The sequence below is a fragment of the Homo sapiens genome, chromosome 19, assembly GCF_000001405.40.
Source record: "Homo sapiens chromosome 19, GRCh38.p14 Primary Assembly".
In the NCBI taxonomy this organism is placed as follows: domain Eukaryota; kingdom Metazoa; phylum Chordata; class Mammalia; order Primates; family Hominidae; genus Homo; species Homo sapiens.
In genome coordinates this window covers 381629-405398 of record NC_000019.10, presented here as the reverse complement: position 1 = coordinate 405398, position 23770 = coordinate 381629, and the positions used below count along the sequence as shown (strand labels likewise).

Here is a 23770-nt window from a genome sequence, read left to right as displayed (position 1 = left end):
TTCTGCGGTGAACTCCAGGGAGGAAGGAGAAGAGGATTCCAGATTGGCAAGGTCCTTTCCACTGCCCTCCGCATTCTCCTGCCCCGGGTGGAGGCAGGCGGGGGCAGGAGCCCAGCCCCTGATAAACCACCTCCCTTGGAGCGGCAGGTCTGGGTTCTGCTTCACGGTTCCAGCTCTTGACTACATGGATGTCAGGAAACAGGACTCGGACCCCACACGGTCCCTACAGGGTGGGTCCCGCCTCCCCTCAGAACCTTCAGACAGGACCCTGTCTCCACAGACCCCCTCTAGACACAGCCCCGTATCCCCCTCACACCCCTCAGGGCAGGACCCCGTTCCCCCCACACCCCTCAGGGCAGGACCCCGTTCCCCTCACACCCCTCAGGGCAGGACCCCATCCCCCCTCCACACCCCTCAGGGCAGGACCCCGTTCCCCCCACACCCCTCAGGGCAGGACCCCGTTCCCCCCACACCCCTCAGGGCAGGACCCCGTCCCCCCCCCACACCCCTCGGGACAGGACCCCGTCCCCCCCTCACACCCCTCAGGGCAGGACCCCGTCCCCCCCTCACACCCCTCAGGGCAGGACCCCGTCCCCCCTCCACACCCCTCAGGGCAGGACCCCATCCCCCCTCCACACCCCTCAGGGCAGGACCCCGTTCCCCCCACACCCCTCAGGGCAGGACCCCGTTCCCCCCTCCACACCCCTCGGGGCAGGACCCGTCCCCCCCTCAGACCCCTCAGGGCAGGACCCCATCCCCCCTCCACACCCCTCAGGGCAGGACCCGTCTCCCCCTCAGACCCCTCAGGGCAGGACCCCGTCCCCCCCACACCCCTCAGGGCAGGACCCCGTCCCCCCCACACCCCTCAGGGCAGGACCCCGTCCCCCCCACACCCCTCAGGGCAGGACCCCGTGCCCCCCCCACACCCCTCAGGGCAGGACCCCGTCCCCCCCCCACACCCCTCAGGGCAGGACCCCGTCCCCCCCACACCCCTCAGGGCAGGACCCCGTCCCCCCCTCAGACCCCTCAGGGCAGGACCCCGTCCCCCCCCCACACCCCTCAGGGCAGGACCCCGTCCCCCCCACACCCCCTCAGGGCAGGACCCCGTCCCCCCCTCAGACCCCTCAGGACAGGACCCGTCCCCCCCACACCCCTCAGGGCAGGACCCCGTCCCCCCCACACCCCTCAGGGCAGGACCCCGTCCCCCCCCCACACCCCTCAGGGCAGGACCCCGTCCCCCCCACACCCCTCAGGGCAGGACCCCGTCCCCCCCACACCCCTCAGGGCAGGACCCCGTCCCCCCCTCAGACCCCTCGGGGCAGGACCCCGTCCCCCCCACACCCCTCAGGGCAGGACCCCGTCCCCCCCACACCCCTCAGGGCAGGACCCCGTCCCCCCCTCACACCCCTCGGGGCAGGACCCGTCCCTGTGCTCTCAGCCCAGGCTGGGCTGCTCTGTCTCTCCTGCTGCCCATGGGGTCCAGATGTCTCTGCCATCTCAAATCCACCAGGAGCTTTTGGGAATTGGGGTTCAGCGTAGCCCGGCCTCCTGACCGCGGCCTGGTGAGCCCCAGTCAGGGCCTGGGACGGGTTGACAGGGCTACGGGCGCCTTGTAGCCTCTTCAGCCCCAGCCACTCATCGCTAGGCTGCACGGGTGTGTGCGTGTGCGTGCCAGGTAGGTGCACACACGTCGCCATGTGCTTCCGCATGTGTGTGCAGTGTGACTGCGTGTGCCGTTACCGTGCTCATCTGTTGGGCGTATGTGACAGTGCCAGGTGAGCGCCTGCAGGCACTCGAGTATAGCTGCCTGTGTGCTGGCGTGTGCACGTGTAAGCACGTGAGCCGTGTATGCATGTGTGACCCTGTGTGCGCTTGTGTGTGCCTGTGTCGCTGCTGGTGTGCACTTGTGTGTGCGTTTGTGTGTGCTGGTGTCTGGGAGCTGCAGCTGCCCATGCCCTCCCCCCTCCACTTCCAAGTGGGCGTCATCCAGGGATTCTGCGCCTGCGTGGTGTCTCGCCCTGCCTCAGGTCTTGGCCCACTGCCCTTCAGGTCAGCCCCCACCCCGGGGGAGTCAGATGCCCTTGTTCCCTCCTGGCTGTGGCCGTTTGCTGCCTTGTGATGTTGATCCTGAGCAGAACGAATCTACTGTTTGCACCTCCAGCATCCCTGGCGCCACAGAGCGCTCGGCCCCAGTGGGTGCTGTGCGGTGAAGGAGGCAGGCACACCTGCCAGCAGTCTCTCCTTTCAGACTGGCGGCCATCCTGAGTCTCCCGACCCTCAGGAAGGCCATGGGCACCACAAGCGGGGGGCACCCCGTTTGGTGCAAATTACAAAAAGATGCCCCTTCTTCAGAGGGGAGCCATCATAGGGAACAACAGATGAAGAGTCAGAAGCCTGGAGACATTGCGGACACCTGGATCCAGCTATGCCTGAAGTCCATAACTGCGCACCATTTCAGCTCAGAGGGTGGGCCGGTAAAGTGCCTTGTTTGCTCAAGCCGGCTTGTTTCAGTTTTTTTGTTTTGTTTTGTTTGTTTGTTTTTTGGAGACGGAGTCTTGCTGTGTCGCCCAGGCTGGAGTACAGAGGTGCAGTCTCGGCTCACTGTAGCCTCTTCTTCCAGGGTTCAAGCGATTCTCCTGCCCCAGCCTCCCAAATAGCTGAGATTACAGGCGCCCGCCACCACACCCAGCTAGTTTTTTGTATTTTTAGTAGAGACGGGGTTTCACCAAGTTGGCCAGGCTCGTCTCAAATTCCTGACCTCAGGTGATACGCCTGCCTCGGCCTCCCAAAGTGCTGGGATTACAGGCGTCAGCCACCACGTCCGGCTGATTCATTTTTTAAGGTGACAGAACACTGATCCAGTGGGTCTCTCCCATCCGAGGAGGAGGAGTAACACCTTCCCAGGGCCCCTGCCTTGCGGCCTGTCCTCTCTGGGGCCTTGAACCTCTAACCCTGACGTGTGTGGGGAGCCGCAGGGTGAGTTTCAAGCCCCACCTTCCACGTGGGGTGTGGCCCGGGGCAGTGCGTGGCTTCTCTGGGTCTCAGGCTCCCGAGGCCGAAGGCTCTGTCTGTGATGAGCCCTGGCGGCTTGTGTGCAGTAGAGCTCAATCCACAGGCTCGCCGGGCGGAAGCCGGCACAAAATAGCGACGATAATTAATATAATCACATCAGGGCCATAATTACAGGCGGCCTCAGACCCACCCAGGCGGGGGCTCCCTCGGCCTCTCTCTGCGGCACCCACCGCCCCAGTGCCGGATTCGATTAAGCTTTTGTTTTCTTCTCAGCTCCTGGGGGTGGGAGGGAGGGGCTGCCCACGGCCAGTTCCGCTGACAGGAGGAGAAAAATGACTTCAATAAAAAGGAGGAGGCGGACGCCGACCCGCACACATGCTCCTCCCACGAGGGCGGGCCATTCCCGCGGGCCGGCGCCTGAGCCTCAGTTTACCCTACTGTACAGTGACGTGGTCCCAGAGCCTCTCTCCAGGGTCACACGCAGGGCAGGGCCTGTTGATTAAGCGCATCGTGGGTGGGTGGGCGGGAGGACCCGCTGAATCCTCAGCAAGACGCTGCCTACTGCCATCCACAGATGGAAACACCGAGGCACAGAAGGCAAAGGGGCCTGCGCACACCTCCCAGCTGACAGGACAGGAATTCGGACCAGGGCTGGACCCACGCTGCCCTTCCTGGGTGGGACTGGACACCTGCTTGCATGGCCGGCCCCTGCCATCTGGCAGAGAGGGCCCCAGGGAGCTGTGCTCTGCCAGCCATGGGTCAGAATCCTGACAAGTCCCTCCGTTCTCTGTGACTCGGTTTCCTCTGCAGCACCCTGTACCCTCCCTGCCTGCTGGTGGGGCTGGAGTGGGCACGGACCCAGCACCCGTGGCACCCAGTCCTGGTCACCGGCTGAGCCCTGCTGCGGTGCCACGGATGAGACCCGCACCTTCCCCCGTGGGGTGAGGAATCCTCTCGTGCGGGGTGAGGTCTGGGCTTTGCCTTGGCTTTGGGAGGTGATTTCTGCCCTGCCTGAGGGGAGCGTCTTGGTCTGGGGTAGGGAGGGTCACACCAGCAAGACCAACCGTGGGACTTGGGAGCGCCTTGGGTCTCACAGCGTCAGACACCCTTGGAGTTCGAGGGCAACCCCGTGGCAAGCAATCAGTCAATCAAGCCCCCACGAGGGATCCCTCGCAGAGCTCTGGGCGCCTAGGCTGCCGTGCCCTTTCCTGGTGGTCCGTGCGCCCTGTGAGTGAGCAGTTCCCGGCTTCCCCGGACAGGACCACGGGGCTTCTCCGGGACGCTGCCTCATGTGCTCTTCCCCAGCCCACGGCACCTGCACCCCGGCACTGTGACAAACCCTACCTGTGACGAGGACAGCTTGCTGGGAGTTCCGTGCGTCCTCGCAAATCATCAAGCGTGAGGGTGAGCCTGGGAACCCCTGGAAGAGTGAGGGTGAGCCTGGGAACCCCTGGAAGAGTGAGGGTGGGCCTGGGGACCCCTGGAAGAGTGAGGGTGGGCCTGGGAACCCTGGAAGAGTGAGGGTGGGCCTGGGAACCCTGGAAGAGTGAGGGTGGGCCTGGGAACCGCTGGAAGAGTGAGGGTGGGCCTGGGGACCCCTGGAAGAGTGAGGGTGGGCCTGGGGACCCCTGGAAGAGTGAGGGTGGGCCTGGGAACCCTGGAAGAGTGAGGGTGGGCCTGGGAACCCCTGCAAGAGTGAGGGTGGGCCTGGGAACCCCTGCAAGAGTGAGGGTGGGCCTGGGAACCCTGGAAGAGTGAGGGTGGGCCTGGGAACCCTGGAAGAGTGAGGGTGGGCCTGGGAACCCTGGAAGAGTGAGGGTGGGCCTGGGGACCCCTGGAAGAGTGAGGGTGGGCCTGGGGACCCCTGGAAGAGTGAGGGTGGGCCTGGGGACCCCTGGAAGAGTGAGGGTGGGCCTGGGAACCCCTGCAAGAGTGAGGGTGGGCCTGGGAACCCCTGGAAGAGTGAGGGTGGGCCTGGGGACCCCTGGAAGAGTGAGGGTGGGCCTGGGAACCCTGGAAGAGTGAGGGTGGGCCTGGGAACCCTGGAAGAGTGAGGGTGGGCCTGGGGACCCCTGGAAGAGTGAGGGTGGGCCTGGGGACCCCTGGAAGAGTGAGGGTGGGCCTGGGGACCCCTGGAAGAGTGAGGGTGGGCCTGGGAACCCCTGCAAGAGTGAGGGTGGGCCTGGGAACCCCTGGAAGAGTGAGGGTGGGCCTGGGGACCCCTGGAAGAGTGAGGGTGGGCCTGGGAACCCTGGAAGAGTGAGGGTGGGCCTGGGAACCCTGGAAGAGTGAGGGTGGGCCTGGGAACCCTGGAAGAGTGAGGGTGGGCCTGGGAACCCTGGAAGAGTGAGGGTGGGCCTGGGAACCCTGGAAGAGTGAGGGTGGGCCTGGGAACCCTGGAAGAGTGAGGGTGGGCCTGGGGACCCCTGGAAGAGTGAGGGTGGGCCTGGGGACCCCTGGAAGAGTGAGGGTGGGCCTGGGGACCCCTGGAAGAGTGAGGGTGGGCCTGGGAACCCCTGCAAGAGTGAGGGTGGGCCTGGGAACCCCTGGAAGAGTGAGGGTGGGCCTGGGGACCCCTGGAAGAGTGAGGGTGGGCCTGGGAACCCTGGAAGAGTGAGAGTGGGCCTGGGAACCCTGGAAGAGTGAGGGTGGGCCTGGGAACCCTGGAAGAGTGAGGGTGGGCCTGGGGACCCCTGCAAGAGTGAGGGTGGGCCTGGGAACCCCTGGGCTGCCGTTGGGGCTGGAACGGGGGCACTGTTGTTGGGACACTGCCCTCTGACCTTTCAGCGTGGTTCACTCCAATCCCCGGGCCACAGAGTCCTCGTGGCCTCCCTGGGAGTGTGCACCTGCCCGGCCGTGGAGACACATGACCCTTGCCCCCAAGCTCCCCTCTCACCTCCCTAACCCCTTTGCCTGTGGCCCAGGCGGCTCAGAGGCACCCCCCCGCCCACCAGCCACTGTGTCCCCACCCTCCCCTCCCACCTGGGCTCCCCCAGCCAAGCCACAGAATGCTCCTTCCTCATCTCCCAAAGTCACGGGGACAGCTCAGATCAAGGACTGCAGCTCCCACACTGCCAGCCCCTCCCCCTCTCTGAGCCTCAGTTTCCTCCTGTGTAAGTGAGGTGCCCAGTGCACACTGCCCTCTAGGCTTCAGGTGATGGCAACATTGAGCTTTCAAAGCACTCACGCATAAACCTCATTCAGACCACGGGCCACTGTAGGTCAAAGGTGCGTCCGAGTGTTTACTAAGGAACGGCAGGACTGGACTGAGTTTTATACGCAGCAGGAGGAAGGAGGCACCTGCCGCTCAGGGACAAAACTCATCCGCATTTGTCAATCCCAAGCAGCGTCCAACCCCAGAGCCAGGACACTGGCAAGAGTGGAGGGAAGCGTCCACAAAGTGACCCCCGGGTGGCCGGGCTGGTCGAGGCTCTGGAATACAACTGATCCTCTGGGTGATTCGGCCCCTCGGGGACACGGGGCAACGTCTGGGGCTTCTGTGGTTGTCACGACTAGGGGAGCTCCTGGTGTGGAGTGGGCGGAGGCCAGGGACACTGCTCAGCACCCAGCAGTGCCCAGGACGGCCCCACCCCAGGGAATGATCAGCTCTGAGGCCCACCGTGCCGAGGGTCCAGGATCCAAAGAGCAGGCAGTGATGTTTTTACCCCTTTCCAAGTTCTGGATAATTTTCCCAAACCTGAGGATGAAACGAGAGAAGGCACATAAGCTGCCTAGCAAGGTGACTGCACATGGTGAGGGGTCTCACGTGTCGTCTGCACGCGGTGAGGGTCTCACGTGTCGTCTGCACGCGGTGAGGGTCACACGTGTCGTCTGCACGCGGTGAGGGTCACACGTGTCGTCTGCACGCGGTGAGGGGTCACGCGTCGTCTGCACGCGGTGAGGGGTCATGCGTGTTGGCTGTTCCCCTTTCCTTTGGCAAATGTGGACTGAGTGCTGCTGTGCCTTATGCTCGTGTCGGGGATACCACAGCTCCAGGGTGTCCCTGACATGATGTTCCCGGCCCTGCGCTCTCCAGAGCTGAGACTCACCCCATGGAGCAGTGGCCACTGGGCCTGTCCCCTCCAGACTGCTCCGCGCAATACAAAGTGGCAGTGGGTAGCTTCCAAACCCAGGCCATGAAAAGGAGGTGGCCCAGGGAGGCAGGTGCAGCTGGCAGCCCAGGTGGGCCCCAGCCTCCTGGTCTTAGAGCAGACTCCCAGATGTCATGGAGCAGGGGCACCATCCCTGGTCTGCCCGAGTTCCTTCCTGACTGAGGCTTTCTCATCGACAAGCATTGGGGTGGGTGCCTAGTCTGAGTCCTGCAAGGCTTGCCCTTGGAGGACTTCCTGGAAGAGGAGGCCAGAGGACAAAAGGGTTGTGAAGCCCCAGAGCAGAAAGGACTCAGCCCCAAAATTCCAAGGAGGCCTGTGGGTCACAGGACTGTAAGAGGAGTGTGGACTTTATCCTGTGGGCAAAGGGCTTGGATGAACGTTTTAGGATGACCTGAACTGTCTGGAAGGAAGGGGCATGGCCGGGCAGCACAGAAGCCAAGGGGAGGGCAGGGCACTGGTGCTGGGTCTGGATGGGCAAAGGCGGATGCCTGGCACCAGGGTGAGCAGAGAGGAGTAAGACACATTTGGAAGAGACTGAGGCTGCAAATCTTCCAGGATGTGTGAGGACTAGGTGTTCAGGATGGTGGACGGGGGTGAGGGGGTGCGCCGGCCGAGTCCTCTCTGTCAGCGCGTTCACCTACCTGCAAGCCCAGGAGCCTCTGCCTTCCAAACGCACCGGGAACCTTCTCAGCAAGCAGGTGGAGCTGCTGAAGGCAGCAGCACGACACGTCTCTGCCACACTCAGTGGATCACGCGGGGCAGCCCAGGCAGGAGGAATTCAAGAGCAGCCGACATGAACCTACCCGCTGCCAGCAATGGAAGTCAGGATGGGGCCCCCGGGGCAGGGACCAGGAGGGACGAGGGGCCTCTGGGGGCCGTCACAGGTGGCGTTTTCATTGGAGTGGGGGCTGCTATGGTCAGTTTGTTTATAAATGTTCACTGAGCTCATCAGGATCAAGTATCCAGAACACATAAACTATGCATACAACTCAGCAACAAAATGACCAACAACCCCATTAAAAAATAGGCAAAAGACTTCAATGGGCATTTATTGAAGAAGACACACAGCTCGTTTACATCATTCGAAACGTAGAAACAGCCCAAATGTCCATCGGCAGAGAGAGATGAACCACCGTGCGGCATATTCGTAGGCTGGAATAGTAGTCAATCACAAAAAAAATGGAGCACGGCCTTGAAACATGACACTCAGTGAAAAAACTCAGGCCAAAAGGACGCATATTGTCTGCTTATATTTACATGAAATGTCAAATATAGCTAAATCCAGAGGATTTCTTTCTGAGATAAGAAGAATGGTTTGGGGAGCTACACATGGTGGCTTGTACCTACAATCCTAGCAACGTGAGAGGCTGAGGCAGGAGGATCCCTTGAGCCCAGGAATTGGAGGCTGCAGTGAGCTGTGAATATGCCACTGTACTCCAGCCTGGGCCAAAAAGCAAGACACTGACTATTTATTTATTTATTTATTTATTTATTGAGACGGAGTCTCGCTCTGTCCCCCAGGCTGGAGTGCAGTGGCACGATCTTGGCTCACTGCAAGCTCCGCTCCCGGGTTCACACCATTCTCCTGCCTCAGCCTCCCCAGTAGCTGGTACTGCAGGCGCCTGCCACCACGCCTGGCTAATTTTTTTTTGTATTTTTAGTAGAGACGGGGTTTCACTGTGTTAGCCAGGATGGTCTCGATCTCCTGACCTCGTGATCCGCCCGCCTCGGCCTCCCAAAGTGCTGGGATTACAGGCGTGAGCCACCATGCCCGGCCCGACAATTTATTTTAAAAAAATGTTTTGGAGCTTAATAGAAGTTATAGTTGCACAACATTGCGAAGGCACTAAAAGACCCTGAATTGGTCGTGTTAAAGCGGTTAATATTACTTAAGGTGCGGTGGCTCACGCCTGTAATCCCAGCACTGTGGGGGGCCGAGACAGGCAGATCACAAGATCAGGAGATCGAGACCATCCTGGCTAACACGGTGAAACCCCCTCTCTACTAAAATTACAAAAAATTTGCCAGGCGTGGTGGCGGGCGCCTGTAATCCCAGCTACGTGGGAAGCTGAGGCAGGAGAATGGCATGAACCTGGGAGGCAGAGCTTGCAGTGAGCCGAGATCACACCACTGCACTCCAGACTGGGCGACAGAGCGAGACTCCGTCTCAAAAAAAAAAAAAAAAGGGAGTCTCAAAAAAAAAAAAAAAGGTGTCACCGAATGCTCTCACTTGGTGCCCAATCACCCATTCCATTCATCCTTCCCGTCGTCCTTCCCATCAACCTTCTCCATTCATCCTTCCCATCGTCCTTCTCCATTCATCCTTCCCATCATACTTCTCCATTCATCCTTCCCATCATCCTTCCCATTGTCCTTCCCATCATCCTTCCCATCGTCCTTCTCCATTCATCCTTCCTGTCGTCCTTCTCCATTCATCCTTCACATCATCCTTCTCCATTCATCCTTCCCATCATCCTTCTCCATTCATCCTTCCCATCGTCCTTCTCTATTCATCCTTCCCATCGTCCTTCTCCATTCATCCTTCCCATCGTCCTTCTCCATCACCCTTCTCCATCATCCTCCATTATCCTTCCCATCATCCTTCCCATCATCCTTCCCATCAACCTTCCCATCAACCTTCCCCATCATCCTTCCCATCATCCTTCCCCATCATCCTTCCCATCATCCTTCCCATCGTCCTTCTCCATAATTCTTCCCATCATCCTTCCCCATCACCCTTCTCCATCATCCTCCATCATCCTTCCCCATCATCCTTCCCATCATCCTTCCCATCATCCTTCCCCATCATCCTTCCCCATCATCTTTCCCATTATCCTTCCCATCATCCTTCCCATCAACCTTCCCCATCATCCTTCTCCATCATCCTTCCCATCATCCTTCCCCATCATCCTTCCCCATCATCTTTCCCATTATCCTTCCCATCATCCTTCCCATCAACCTTCCCCATCATCCTTCTCCATCATCCTTCCCATCATCCTTCCCCATCATCCTTCCCCATCATCTTTCCCATTATCCTTCCCATCATCCTTCCCATCAACCTTCCCCATCATCCTTCTCCATCATCCTTCCCATCATCTTTCCCCATCATCCTTCCCATCATCTTTCCCCATCATCCTTCCCATCATCCTTCCCATCATCCTTCTCCATCATCCCTCCCATCATCCTTCTCCATCATCCTTCCCCATCATCCTTCCCATCATCTTTCCCCATCATCCTTCCCATTATCTTTCCCCATCATCCTTCTCCGTCATCCTTCTCCATCATCCTTCCCATCCTTCCCATCATCCTTCTCAATCATCCTTCCCCATCATCCTTCCCATCATCTTTCCCCATCATCCTTCCCATCATCTTTCCCCATCATCCTTCTCCATCATCCTTCCCATCCTTCTCCATCATCCTTCCCATCATCTTTCCCCATCATCCTTCCCATCATCTTTCCCCATCATCCTTCCCATCATCTTTCCCCATCATCCTTCTCCATCATCCTTCCCATCCTTCTCCATCATCCTTCCCATCATCTTTCCCCATCATCCTTCCCATCATCTTTCCCCATCATCCTTCCCATCATCTTTCCTCATCATCCTTCCCATCATCTTTCCCCATCATCCTTCTCCATCATCCTTCCCTTCATCCTTCTCCATCATCCTTCCCATCATCCTTCCCCATCATCCTTCTCCATCATCCTTCCCCATCATCCTTCCCATCTTCCTTCTCCATCCTCTCTTCTGTTAAATCCTCTCCAGTCATCCTCCCATCATCCTTCCCTGTCATTCTTCCCATCCTCCTTCCCCATCTCTCCCATTGTCTTTCCAGTCATCCTTCCCCATCATCTTTCCCCATTGTCCTTCTCATTATCCTTCTCATTATCATCCTTCCCATCACCCATCCTGTCATCTTTCACCATCACCTTTCCCATCATCCTTCTCCATCACCTTCCCATCATCCTTCCCCATCATCCTTCCCATCATCCTTCCCATCAACCTTCCCCATCATCCTTCCCATCACCCTTCTCCATCACCCTTCCCATCATCCTTCCCATCATCCTTCCCATCATCCTTCCCCATCATCCTTCCCCATCATCCTTCCCGTCATCCTTCCCATCATCCTTCCCATCATCCTTCCCATGAACCTTCCCATCATCCTTCCCCATCATCCTTCCCCATCATCCTTCCCCATCATCCTTCCCGTCATCCTTCCCATCATCCTTCCCATCATCCTTCCCATGAACCTTCCCATCATCCTTCTCCATCATCCTTCCCATCATCCTTCTCCATCATCCTTCCCCATCATCCTTCCCCATCACCACCTATCCCCACCATCCTTCTCCATCATCCTTCTCCATCATCCTTCCCATCATCCTTCTCCATCATCCTTCCCATCATCCTTCTCCATCATCCTTCCCATCATCCTTCTCCATCATCCTTCCCATCATCCTTCTCCATCATCCTTCCCCATCACCACCTATCCCCACCATCCTTCCCATCATCCTTCTCCATCATCCTTCCCATCATCCTTCCCATCATCCTTCCCATCATCCTTCCCATCAACCTTCCCATCATCCTTCCCCATCATCCTTCCCACCATCCTTCTCCATCATCCTTCCCATCATCCTTCTCCATCATCCTTCCCCATCACCACCTATCCCCACCATCCTTCTCCATCATCCTTTCCCACCATCCTTTCCTATCATCCTTCACCGTCATCCTTCCCCATCATCACACACCCCCACCATCCTTCCTTATCATCTGTTCCATTGTTTGTCCCTAGACCAGCTCTGTTGCCTCATCCCTGGTCTCTGGACTGTGAGCACCAGGCCTGCCACCTGCTGACTCTGTACACTGACCTCCGTCTCTCCCATCTCTGTCACGGTAAAAACCCAACTCCTTCCCATTCCCACCAGGCCCTGAATGACCTGCCTGGCCACCTCCTTGCTCTCACCTCCTCCCTTTCTCTCCCTTACTCAGTCTGCTGCAGCCACATGGGCCTGCTTTTGGTTCCATCTGCACAGCAGGCACGTTGGTCTCAGAGTCTTTGCTCATGCTGTGCTCTTCCTAGACACCCTCACGGCCTTCACCTCAGTGGCCTTCCCTGCCTCCATCCTCCCCCAACTCTCCTTTGCTTTCTTCTCAGCACTCTGTGGGGGCCAGGACCACCTCCCAGCCTCTTCCCAGGCCCAGAACCGTGCTTGACACACAGCAAGTGTTCAAGTTTTAGCGGAATAAATGTGTGTGATGGCCAAGGTGCTCAGATGTTTTTCTGAGAAATCAACAGGATGGGGGCCTGGGGCCTCTTCCCACCTTCACAGGCAGCTGCAGACACCACCTCCACGGCCCCCAGGCCCTCCTCACACCCACTCACACTCACGGGCTCTCTCTGGCTGAAAGGAAGGGCTATTTTTAACCTCGTCATCCTCTGCCTCAAGTGTTTAATTGCACAATAATGAGGGTGGGCGACGGGAGAGCAAACCTCAGATTACACCAGCACATGGGGCAGGGCTGCCGGCACTGCCTGCCCACGTGGTCCCTCACGTGGAGACCCTCACACACTCCACCCCTAAGGCCAGGGAAGACCTTCGAGGCATGCGTGTTCTGAGGAGCCTGCAGGCCCAGAGAGAGCTGCTGCAGAGAGGGAGGTGCCTGCCTGGCACAGGGCTGCATAGACGTCTATCCAAACTCAGGGACGGCTGTTCCTGTAGAGCCACGGGCCCCACGGAATGGGGACCACGCCGATGCCCTCCTCCCCAGCCCCACTCACCCCATTGTGTATTGGTATCTCCCCGCTGTCCCTGCAGGCTCTGGCCCCATCCCACCTCCAGGCTTTTCCTCCTGGTGCACTCTCCCCTGATCACCTCCCAGTCCCTTCCTCACCTCCTTCACTTCTGTCTTTGTCCAAAGTCCCCTTCCTGGGAAGGCCTCTCCGACCTCCCTACCTTCCTGCCTTCCCCACGACTCTACCATCTCCTCCCTGCCGCGTTCTCCCGGCAATTCACCAATCGTGTTTCTTGCCTGTCTTCCCCACTAAGACGCCACCTCCAGGAGGGCAGGGATTTTGCCGATTTTGTTCACAGCTGGGTCCCCAGGGCCTCTGCCGGGACGGGCGTGGCACACAGTCGGTGCCCAATGTATGCTTGACGTACTCGCGGGTGAATGAACAGCTGTGCAGGACCCTGCCCGCTCTTCCGGAAGCTTTTGGACGTGGCCAGTGCTGCCCCTCCTCGCGGACTGAGCAGCTGCCACCTGGGGCTGCCGTAGCAAAGGCACATGGCCTGGGTGTTCCCACAGCAGAGATGTGTCCTCCCGGTTCTGGAGGCCAGAGCTTTGCCATCCAGGTGTCGGCAGGGCTGGCTTCTTCCAGAGGCTCAGAGGGAGACTGCGTCTGTGTCCTTCTCCAGCTGGTGGTGGTGGCCGGTGGCCCTCGGCCTGTAGATGCCTCAGTCCAGTCTCTGCCTCTGTCCTTGCACGGCCGTTGCCCCTGAGAGTGTTGTGAGCCCACTCCTCATCTTAGAGAGACGCCGGTCATCAGATTGAGGGTCCTCCGGACTCCAGGGTGACCTCATCTGAACTCATCACATCTGCAAAGACCTTATTTCCAAATAAGGTCCTACTCATGGGTTCCAGGGATGGACCGTGTTTTGGGGGGAGACACAACTCAACCCATCATACTCTCCTTGATGCTGATTAAATCAAAGTCTGAGCTCATCTAGACCTGCAGAGTTGGGGTCTCTGTAGGAGGTAAGGTGGGGGGCTGGCCCAAGACTCTATGCTTTGAATATTGTTTTCACATCTTTTAGTTTTGATATCATTTTGACCTTACAGGAAAGTGGCAAGATTACTTGTCATACAGCAGGAACTCCCCCTGACTCTACCCAGAGTCACCAGCGGGCTGGATTTTCCCCATTTGCTGTGTCATCTTCGGTGTCTGTACCTCTATCTGTATCTACAGCCACCTGTTATCTACATATGGTACAATATTCATATTTATACACATTTTCAGAACCATTGAAGACTATGCTGGAGGTGCAATGCCCACTTCCTCCTAAACATATCAGCGTATCTTTTCTAAAAACCAGGATTCTCTTTTATAACCCTGGGGCTGTTGTCAACATCGGGAAATTCCACATCCACACAACGCTCAGATCTAATCCGCTGCCTGCATTTAAATCTCACCGGCTGCTGTGGTGATGTCCCACTGTGGGTGGGGGGGCCTTGCTACCCCAGCAGGTACCATGGCAACAGATGCTGCTGGCCGGGCCTGCAGTGGAGCAGCGTGGGCTGGGAGCCAGCCAGGGCGGGGGCCGGGGCGGGGGCCGGGGGGCCAGGCCTGGAGGTGCCGCTGGCCCTGGGGTCGGGTTAATGGCACCCTGAGGACCACAGAGTGAAGCTCCTGGGCCTCTCAGACCACTTGGCCTTGGCTAAGGGTTGAGAAGGGTTCTGAGGCCTTGCCAGGGCTCAGAGGGAAACAGTGTGGCCCTCAGCATTCGGCTGCTGATGTCTGCCTCAGGCTGGCCATGGCGTGGGCGCAGTGTGCTGTGTGTCTGTGTCCAGCCCTCGTGTGCACAGATGAGGAACGGCCTCCTTCTGAGGCTCTTGGCAAGCGCGGAGGAAGCAGAGCCCGGTTGCCCAGTCCGCGGGCTTGACCGCACCCCAATGCTGGGGAGAAGGGGCTGCCACATCAGAGCTGCTCACAGCCGGGCCCTGGGGAGCCACCGATGTCCCTGCACCTCCGCGTTCCCATCTGTGACAGGGAGCAATGGTGGCTGCACCTTCAGGGCTGCTCGAGGACTCGCCTCAGTGTTCCCATCTGTGACAGGGAGCAATGGTGGCTGTCTTGGTGTTCCCATCTGTGACAGGGAGCAATGGTGGCTGTGCCTTCAGGGCTGCTCGAGGACTGAGTGGGAGGATGTTGCTACACGGAGTTTTGTTGATGGCATCTGTAGTTGTACAGTGACCCTACTCTCAGGCTACATGGGCTGCATCTGTTACAGCCATGGGTCTGCATTGTTCAGAATCATGTCTTGGAGGCCACGCTCTACCCACCTCTGTCTCCCATTACCGTGGGGTCTTGGCCTGCGCTGCTCTAGAACCCCAACCCCAGCTCAGGCCCCAGGAGAGAAATGGATGGGTCCCCACAAGCCAGACCGCGGCCTCCCAGAACCAGCTCATGGGGGATACGGGAGCGAGCAGAGACGTGAGGGCAGGAGCCACGGGCAGGGCACGTGCAAGAGGCCAGTGGTGGACTCAGAGGACAGGCAGACACACGGAGGACAGAGAAAGAGGGAGGGGAGAGAGAGAGAGACAGAGAGACGGAGAGGGGCATTGCCCTGTGTCTGGAGGGGAGGGGCTTGTCAAGGGCTGGGTTGGGGGTTGGGGCTGCAGAGGGACTGGGGGACTCGTCCCAGCCTCTCCTCCAAGGGCATCTTGGGCTGTTCCCCAGAAGCCGACTCTTTGGGCTGAAAATAGACCTCACAGCTCAGACACTGTCTCTGCAGCCACCTGGTGGCCCCTCACGCGTCCCCAGCTTCCCCGGAATGCCGAGTGTGTTGGTGAATTTTTTGTGTGAACTCGACTGGGCCGCAGGATCCCCAGAAGTTTGGTCAAACATCATTCTGGGCAGGTCTGTGAGGATGTTTTTGGATGAGGTGAACATCTGCAAACCACCCGCTCTTAGGAACACACCCAAACTCTGCTGTCGTGTTGAGGGTTTCATTACCATGAGTAAATCTGGGATGAATATTCATGTGTGAACGTCACTGACTACGTGCTCTGTGACATGTTTGGACACATGTGTCCCTCCAAATCTCATGCGGAAATGTGACGCCCAGAGTTGGTGTGAGGCCTGGTGGGAGGTGCTGGCTCACGGGGTAGATCCCGCCTGCAGGGCTTAGCCCATGCCCTTGGTGACACGTGAGTTGAGTTCTTGCTCACCTGAGAGCTGTTTACGATTGCGGCACCTTCCCCCTTGCTAACTCTCGCTCACCTGAGAGCTGTTTAGGAGTGCGGCACCATCCCCCGTCCTGCCTGTTGCTCACCTGAGAGCCATTTAGGAGTGCGGCACCGTCCCCCGTCCTGCCTGTTGCTCACCTGAGAGCCATTTAGGAGTGCGGCACCTTCCCTCTTGCTCCCTCTCACCCGTGACACACCAGCTCCCTCTTCACCTTCCTTGATGGGTAAACCTCCCCGGCCTCCCCAGAAGCGGCCCAGAGGCCGGTGTCACATTTCCTGTACGGCCCGCAGAACCGTGAGCAAATGAACCCTCTTCGTTATGAACGACCCAGCCTCAGGGACCTCTTCATAGCGACACACTCCACAAGACAGATGACTGGGGGTGAAGATCCTGGGCCCAAGGACGGAGCATCTGTGATGCAGGTACCTGCCGCCCAGTTCCCTTCTGAGGGCTGCGCCCGTGCAGGGCTGAGGGTGTGGGGCCTGCCCCCACGCCAGCCCATCCTTGTCAACCCTGCACGTCTCTCTGTCTCTCTCAGCTCAATGCAACCTCCACCTCCCGGGTTCAAGTGATTCTTCTCCCTCAGCCTCTCGAGTAGCTGAGATTACAGGCATGCACCATCACGCCCGGCTGATTTTTGTATTTTTAGTAGAGACGGGGTTTCACCATGTTGGCCAGGCTGGTCTCGAACTCCTGACCTCAGGTGATCCGTCCGCCTCGGCCTCCCAAAGTGCTGGGATTACAGGCCTGAGTCACTGCGCCCCGCCCTTAACTTGAATTTCTTAAGGCTGGATATGTGTTCCTAAGATCTTGGCCACCGTATTTCTTCCATTTGTAACTTGCTCATCCAAGTTCTCACTCATCCTCCTGCCGGGGTTTTGACCTGTTACTAATTTATGTGAGCTTATTATATAACAAGGATAGATGATCAAGGCCGAGGCTGAGACCCTGATGTGTACTCGAGGACACACGGCCGAGGCTGAGACCCTGCCGTGTACTCACAGACACACGCGGCCGAGGCTGAGACCCTGCCGTGTACTCACAGACACACGCGGCCGAGGCTGAGACCCTGCAGTGTACTCACAGACACACGCGGCCGAGGCTGAGACCCTGCCGTGTACTCACAGACACACGCGGCCGAGGCTGAGACCCTGCAGTGTACTCACAGACACACGCGGCCGAGGCTGAGACCCTGCCGTGTACTCACAGACACACGCGGCCGAGGCTGAGACCCTGCCGTGTACTTACAGACACACGTGGCCGAGGCTGAGACCCTGCTGTGTACTCACAGACACACGTGGCCGAGGCTGAGACCCTGATGTGTACTCGAGGACACACGGCCGACGCTGAGACTCAGAGCCCCTGTGGTCCCAGCTACTCGGGAGTCTGCGTTGGGGGGATCGCTTGACCTCAGGAAGTTGAGGCAGCAGTGTGTGGAGATTCACTGTTGCACTCCAGCCTGGATGACAGAGCAAGGCACTGCCTCAAAAATAAAGAAATACATAAATACTGAAATTTTTAGGGGTGGAGGTGCATGACATCTACAACTTAGCTTCAAATGTTCAGGAAAAAACCGACAGGAGGATAACACAGGGCGGCAGGTCGTTCACAGCGGGTGACCAGGTGAAGGACACACAGAGTTCTTACTGGGACCTTAAAGCCAATTTGACCTGTGAAGGGGTGGGTTGCCCCTCCATACCTGTGGGTGTTTCTCGTTAGGTGGAACAAGAGACTTGGAAAAGAAAAAGACACAGAGACAAAGTATAGAGAAAGAAATAAGGGGACCCGGGGAACCAGCGTTCAGCATATGGAGGATCCCGCCAGCCTCTGAGTTCCCTTAGTATTTATTGATCATTCGTGCGTGTTTCTTGAAGAGGGGGATGTGTCAGGGTCACAAGACAATAGTGGGGAGAGGGTCAGCAGACAAACACGTGAACAAAGGTCTTTGCATCATAGACAAGGTAAAGGATTAAGTGCTGTGCTTTTAGATATGCATCCACATAAACATCTCAATGCTTTACAAAGCAGTATTGCTGCCCGCAGGTCCCACCTCCAGCCCTAAGGCGGTTTTTCCCTATCTCAGTAGATGGAACGTACAATCGGGTTTTATACCGAGACATTCCATTGCCCAGGGAGGGGCAGGAGACAGATGCCTTCCTCTTGTCTCAACTGCAAGAGGCATTCCTTCCTTTTACTAATCCTCCTCAGCACAGACCCTTTACGGGTGTCGGGCTGGGGGACGGTCAGGTCTTTCCGTTCCCACGAGGCCATATTTCAGACTGTCACATGGGGAGAAACCTTGGACAATACCTGGCTTTCCTAGGCAGAGGACCCTGCGGCCTTCCGCAGTGTTTGTGTCCCTGGGTACTTGAGGTTAGGGAGTGGTGATGACTCTTAACGAGCATGCTGCCTTCAAGCATCTGTTTAACAAAGCACGTCTCGCACCGCCCTTAATCCATTCAACCCTGAGTGGACACAGCACATGTTTCAGAGAGCACGGGGTTGGGGGTGGGGTCACCGAATCTCAAGGCAGAAGAATTTTTCTTAGTACAGAACAAAATGGAGTCTCCCATGTCTACTTCTTTCTACACAGACACAGTAACAATCTGATCTCTCTTGCTTTTCCCCACATTTCCCCCTTTTCTTTTCGACAAAACCGCCATCGTCATCATGGCCCGTTCTCGATGGTCGCTGTCTCTTCGGAGCTGTTGGGTACACCTGCAGACTAACAACAGACAAAACAGGCACACAAGGATTAATATGAGATTTATAATCATAGAACTTCCGATGGTCGTAACCCAAGCGACAGGGTTAAGATTTGCGAGGCCATCAGCCACTCCTGCGATTGCCTCCATTCCTGGCACCAAATTTAAATGGGCTTTTGATGCTTCGAAAATTTGTTCTTTCAATTTGGAAATGTCTAAAGTGAGATTATCTTCTCTTCCCTGTAGATGGCGTCTAACTATGTCCTAGTGATGCTCAGACTCATTATAAATTTGGGGTGTAATACAAAAGTCTGACGTATTCCAGTCACACTGTAACTGGAAATAATGTTCTAAGCTCATGAGCCTGTCTCCCATCCAAATGACAGGTTGTCTAAGATCATTATTTGATTTGCCAATTTTTGATCAATACTAGATTGTGAATTCCATAATCTTGTAGAATTTTTTTGCCAATCATTAAAAGTTTACCGACTGAACAGAAGAGTGCAATGCAACTCCTGCTACAGCAGCCGTAGCTGTGACTGCAATTAATCCCATAATCACTGCAATTAAAGTAAAAATGAATCTTTTGGATCTATTTAAAACGCCTTTTAATACTTCAGTCAAAATACGGACGGATGGCAAGGCCTCCTGCGGTCAGTCCGTGGACACGGGGACCCACACGCCCTCTCTTGCCCTCCCCAGCAGAATACGGTGTTGCCAATTAAAAGTCAAATCAATGCAAGTAAACAATCTGCAGTTTTCACAGGTTATAGTTTGAGAGTCTGGTTTAATAACTATATTTCCTACAACTAGCATATAAGGGGGGGCTTTACGCAACTTTGTAAAGGAACCGTTGGACTGGAATTTAGGTGGATAGTATAAAATGGCTTACAATCTCTTGTTTCTAAAGTTTGATTTCCAGACCAAATTCTAATGTGGTGTGAGGCCACAGTAAGCCTCCATAATTCTGGATGTTCAGGACCAGAAACAGGACTTATTATTTTTGGTCTTGGGGTAGAGATTCCTTTTTCTCCCCATACCCAAGGGTAGAAAGACTGTAATTTTTTATGCTTATGTTTGTCTAGAGTTTCTGTTAAGTCGCTATCAACAGCTGGACTCACTTGTGCACTTGGACACGACCGAGTTTGTCCTGAGCAACTGTGGTAGAATTGACTCGAGGTGCCCAATCTATAATAGTTCCGAATTCATTGTTTTGTAATATCACCGCACTATTGGCCACACATTCTTTCCAAACTAAAACTTCTGTATTTTTTGATCCTTTGGGAATTTCCTTGGGGCAAGGTTTCCCTATAGGTCTAAATTTTAATGATCTTTGATAAGAAAAGTCTTGTAAATAATTTACCCGTGGCCTGAGTGACATCCCGCTTACCATGTGATAAGTGAATCTACTGATGGGACTGACAGTAGGTACTTCCACCAACCAATTTTGGACTGTAGGCATTAAACATCCTGGTGCTTTCCCTAGGCAAATAGGAGGATAACGATAACTATGTTTGCCGACGTGACCTCAGTGACACAAAGAAACCTTCTGCCCCCACCTCCCTCCCAGTCACAGCTCACCAGGCGCCTTCTGCCCCCACCTCCCTCCCAGTCACAGCTCACCAGGCGCCTTCTGCCCCCACCTCCCTCCCGGTCACAGCTCACCAGGCGCCTTCTGCCCCCACCTCCCTCTCAGTCACAGCTCACCAGGCGCCTTCTGCCCCCACCTCCCTCCCACTTCATCAGTTCCAGGGAGCTTTCTTTCAAAATGATACTACTTTTCTTGAAAGTTCGCAATTATTTCAAAACAACAACACAAACAAAGCCAGAAAGGCATGCAAACAAACAGCAGTGAGAACAAAACAAGGTTACTAACCAGCTCCTATGCTCTGCCCCAGGCTTGGGCCTGCTCTCTCTCTGTAAAAACCATTGACAATGCTGGGGACAGTTGAACTTTCATTTGCACCAAGCTGCGACTTTCCCCTTGGGGTAGCCAGGACTGGCCCTGAAGGAAAAGGGAAGTAATTTCTCATCACAGTATTTGGTGTTCTGTAGTCTGGGCCTTGTGTTGCTGGCGGCACCTGGAGGGCACCGCTCCGAGCCCCTCCTCTGGGAAACAGGCTGTGAATTGTGGATGACACCGCGGGTCACTGTGCGAGGGAAGAGCACGGTTGTGCCTGTACCCAGGGGAAAGCCCGGCCCCACCCGTCACCCTCGTCCAGTGACATCTGTGGGATTTCTCCTCAGCCACGACCAAGGCTGTTCTGTTCCCACCCAACACTGCGAGAGCAGGCCCGGAGGGAGGTGGCAGCGAATGATCTAGGTTCTGCGGGAGCTGACGTGGGTTCGCGCCCGGTGCAATCCCGGGCCAATGCACTGCCTCTCTGAGCTCGTTTTCTCCTTGGTGAAACGAGGGTGGTAATGGGGAAAGCCGCCCTCGCAGGACAGGCTGTGGGGACGATTCGGTTCGGGAGCCCTCGGTCCAGGGTTAATCCTGGCGAGGGGAGACCAACTGCCCTTGACTGCGGCGGCAGCTGGTGGTCGCCTGTGGTATTGCTGCCTCCTCGCCGGGGGCCGCGGGCCGTCACTCACTCTCGAGGCTTCCTGGAATTCTCTTCTGCACTTTGGGAGGCCGAGGCGGGCGGATCACTTGAGGACGGGAGTTCGAGACCAGCCTGACCAACACGGAGAAACCCCAACTCTACTAAAAATACAATTAGCCAGGCGTGGTGGCGCGCGCCTGTAATCCCAGCTACTCCGGAGGCTGAAGTAGGAGAAATGCTTGAACCCAAGAGGCGGAGGTTGCGGCGAGCCGAGGTCGCACCACTGCACTCCAGCCTGGGCAACACGAGCGAAACTCCATCTCAAAAGAAAGAAAGAAAGAAAGAAGTTCTGTTCTGAATGCTGCTGGAAGTCCAGGCATGAACAAGATAAATCACAGTCTCCACCCTATTGGAGCACATATGCTAATGAGATAAAAAGACAATAAATATGTAAAAAGTCAACACAAAGCAAGATCATGATACATGCAACTAAGCAAACAAACTCCCCATAGATTTAGGTAGAAAAATGAGGGGGCCCTACTTTAGACGAGGTGATTGGGGAAGGCTTTTTGGAGGAGGTGATATTTAAGGAGAATCTGGAAGGAGTCATGCCCCTGAATTGGGAGGGGGTTACTGAGCCCCGAACTGAGCTGGCGTGTGCAGCAGAAAGGCCCGCGTGGCTATGAGAGCAGGCCTGAGAGAGGGACAGGGGAGGGGACTAGCCTGGCGGGCCTGGGGAGGGAGCCAGGCAGCAGGGGGTCTCCATCCTGAAGTAGAAGTGCTGGGGGCCCACACCCCCGACTTGGGTGGCTCTGACCACTGGGAACAGGAGAAGGGTGTGCTTCCGTTGTGCGTTGCTGCATGACACGCAGCCCGGCCAGCAGTTGACGGCGGGCATTCGTCACTCTTCGTGATTCTGCGTTCTGCGCTAGGACATGACCTCACTAGGCAACAGGAACTTTCCAGCTCCGTCACAATCTTACACAGCTGTTGTGGACCGAAACGAGGTATGCTGCTGAAGCTGTAATAGGTGCTCAGCAGAATCAGCCATGCCTTCCCTCTGTAGGCTTAATCTGGAGTTGTTTCAAAACGAATCTGCCATTTTAGAGACTGGCGAGAGTGAATTTGAATGCGACTTCTTCCCCTTTCTCCTCTCTCTCCTCCCTCCGTTTTCTTTTGCAAGGACCTTAGGGGCATAAAATTAGGTGAACCATAATTATTTCCATCCACCCATTCATTTACCCATTCACGATTCAACCATGAGCTCATTACCCAACTGGAGAATAGGAATGTGATCAACCACTTCCTGCCACAGCCCCAGCAACAGCAACACCTAATACATCTGCTTATGAATCACCACGGTTCTGCTCCACCTCCTACATCAGCTCATCACCACGGTTCTGCCCCACCTCCTACATCTGCTCATCACCACGGTTCTGCTCCACCTCCTACATCTGCTCATCACCACGGTTCTGCTCCACCTCCTACATCTGCTCATCAATCACCACGGTTCTGCTCCACCTCCTACATCTGCTCATCACCACGATTCTGCTCCACCTCCTACATCTGCTCATCACCACGGTTCTGCTCCACCTCCTACATCTGCTCATCACCACGGTTCTGCTCCACCTCCTACATCTGCTCATCACCACGGTTCTGCTCCACCTCCTACATCTGCTCATCAATCACCACGGTTCTGCTCCACCTCCTACATCTGCTCATCACCACGATTCTGCTCCACCTCCTACATCTGCTCATCACCACGGTTCTGCTCCACCTCCTACATCTGCTCATCACCACGGTTCTGCTCCACCCCCTACATCTGCTCATCACCACGGTTCTGCCCCACCCCCTACATCTGCTCATCACCACGGTTCTGCTCCACCTCCTACATCTGCTCATCAATCACCACAGTTCTGCCCCACGTCCTACATCTGCTCATCACCACGGTTCTGCCCCACCACCTACATCTGCTCATCAATCACCACGGTTCTGCTCCACCTCCTACATCAGCTCATCACCACGGTTCTGCCCCACCTCCTACATCTGCTCATCACCACGGTTCTGCTCCACCTCCTACATCTGCTCATCACCACGGTTCTGCCCCACCTCCTACATCTGCTCATCACCACGGTTCTGCTCCACCTCCTACATCTGCTTATCAATCACCACGATTCTGCTCCACCTCCTACATCTGCTCATCACCACGGTTCTGCTCCACCTCTTACATCTGCTTATCAATCACCACGATTCTGCTCCACCTCCTACATCTGCTCATCACCACGGTTCTGCCCCACCCCCTACATCTGCTCATCACCACGGTTCTGCTCCACCTCCTACATCTGCTTATCAATCACCACGGTTCTGCTCCACCTCCTACATCTGCTCATCAATCACCACGGTTCTGCTCCACCTCCTACATCTGCTCATCAAT

At 56.5% G+C, this 23770-nt stretch overlaps 1 long non-coding RNA gene across 1 annotated transcript, besides 13 other annotated features; it reads right to left on the bottom strand.

The window, feature by feature from the left end:
* Positions 6214-7413: an enhancer, noted in NCBI's record as "CDK7 strongly-dependent group 2 enhancer chr19:397986-399185 (GRCh37/hg19 assembly coordinates)". NCBI's record gives its function as "activates an origin of replication core promoter dependent on BRD2, BRD4, P300/CBP, MED14 and CDK7 cofactors, with strong dependence on CDK7, by STARR-seq in HCT116 cells {active_cell/tissue: HCT116}" and the evidence as "EXISTENCE:reporter gene assay evidence [ECO:0000049][PMID:35650434]".
* Positions 15387-15951: an enhancer, noted in NCBI's record as "H3K4me1 hESC enhancer chr19:389448-390012 (GRCh37/hg19 assembly coordinates)". NCBI's record gives its function as "activates a minimal SCP1, AML or CMV promoter by ChIP-STARR-seq in naive H9 embryonic stem cells {active_cell/tissue: H9 hESC(naive)}" and the evidence as "EXISTENCE:reporter gene assay evidence [ECO:0000049][PMID:30033119]".
* Positions 15952-16517: an enhancer, noted in NCBI's record as "H3K4me1 hESC enhancer chr19:388882-389447 (GRCh37/hg19 assembly coordinates)". NCBI's record gives its function as "activates a minimal SCP1, AML or CMV promoter by ChIP-STARR-seq in naive H9 embryonic stem cells {active_cell/tissue: H9 hESC(naive)}" and the evidence as "EXISTENCE:reporter gene assay evidence [ECO:0000049][PMID:30033119]".
* Positions 17083-17647: an enhancer, noted in NCBI's record as "OCT4-H3K27ac-H3K4me1 hESC enhancer chr19:387752-388316 (GRCh37/hg19 assembly coordinates)". NCBI's record gives its function as "activates a minimal SCP1, AML or CMV promoter by ChIP-STARR-seq in naive H9 embryonic stem cells {active_cell/tissue: H9 hESC(naive)}" and the evidence as "EXISTENCE:reporter gene assay evidence [ECO:0000049][PMID:30033119]".
* Positions 17648-18212: an enhancer, noted in NCBI's record as "NANOG-H3K27ac-H3K4me1 hESC enhancer chr19:387187-387751 (GRCh37/hg19 assembly coordinates)". NCBI's record gives its function as "activates a minimal SCP1, AML or CMV promoter by ChIP-STARR-seq in primed H9 embryonic stem cells {active_cell/tissue: H9 hESC(primed)}" and the evidence as "EXISTENCE:reporter gene assay evidence [ECO:0000049][PMID:30033119]".
* Positions 18213-18778: an enhancer, noted in NCBI's record as "NANOG-H3K27ac hESC enhancer chr19:386621-387186 (GRCh37/hg19 assembly coordinates)". NCBI's record gives its function as "activates a minimal SCP1, AML or CMV promoter by ChIP-STARR-seq in naive H9 embryonic stem cells {active_cell/tissue: H9 hESC(naive)}" and the evidence as "EXISTENCE:reporter gene assay evidence [ECO:0000049][PMID:30033119]".
* Positions 18718-22849, bottom strand: LOC124904606 (uncharacterized). Its single transcript, XR_007067071.1, has 3 exons — positions 22818-22849; positions 20670-22781; positions 18718-20275 (listed from the first exon to the last, which is right to left on the bottom strand). It is a non-coding gene; the product is annotated as an uncharacterized LOC124904606 (long non-coding RNA).
* Positions 20538-21064: an enhancer, noted in NCBI's record as "H3K27ac-H3K4me1 hESC enhancer chr19:384335-384861 (GRCh37/hg19 assembly coordinates)". NCBI's record gives its function as "activates a minimal SCP1, AML or CMV promoter by ChIP-STARR-seq in primed H9 embryonic stem cells {active_cell/tissue: H9 hESC(primed)}" and the evidence as "EXISTENCE:reporter gene assay evidence [ECO:0000049][PMID:30033119]".
* Positions 20857-20976: an enhancer, noted in NCBI's record as "active region_13556". NCBI's record gives its function as "activates an Ori minimal core promoter by ATAC-STARR-seq in GM12878 lymphoblastoid cells {active_cell/tissue: GM12878}" and the evidence as "EXISTENCE:reporter gene assay evidence [ECO:0000049][PMID:35858748]".
* Positions 21057-21256: an enhancer, noted in NCBI's record as "active region_13555". NCBI's record gives its function as "activates an Ori minimal core promoter by ATAC-STARR-seq in GM12878 lymphoblastoid cells {active_cell/tissue: GM12878}" and the evidence as "EXISTENCE:reporter gene assay evidence [ECO:0000049][PMID:35858748]".
* Positions 21057-21591: a biological region, named in NCBI's record as "H3K27ac-H3K4me1 hESC enhancer GRCh37_chr19:383808-384334".
* Positions 21065-21591: an enhancer, noted in NCBI's record as "H3K27ac-H3K4me1 hESC enhancer chr19:383808-384334 (GRCh37/hg19 assembly coordinates)". NCBI's record gives its function as "activates a minimal SCP1, AML or CMV promoter by ChIP-STARR-seq in naive H9 embryonic stem cells {active_cell/tissue: H9 hESC(naive)}" and the evidence as "EXISTENCE:reporter gene assay evidence [ECO:0000049][PMID:30033119]".
* Positions 22337-22406: an enhancer, noted in NCBI's record as "active region_13554". NCBI's record gives its function as "activates an Ori minimal core promoter by ATAC-STARR-seq in GM12878 lymphoblastoid cells {active_cell/tissue: GM12878}" and the evidence as "EXISTENCE:reporter gene assay evidence [ECO:0000049][PMID:35858748]".
* Positions 22567-22666: an enhancer, noted in NCBI's record as "active region_13553". NCBI's record gives its function as "activates an Ori minimal core promoter by ATAC-STARR-seq in GM12878 lymphoblastoid cells {active_cell/tissue: GM12878}" and the evidence as "EXISTENCE:reporter gene assay evidence [ECO:0000049][PMID:35858748]".
* Positions 22850-23770: the final 921 nt, after the last annotated feature.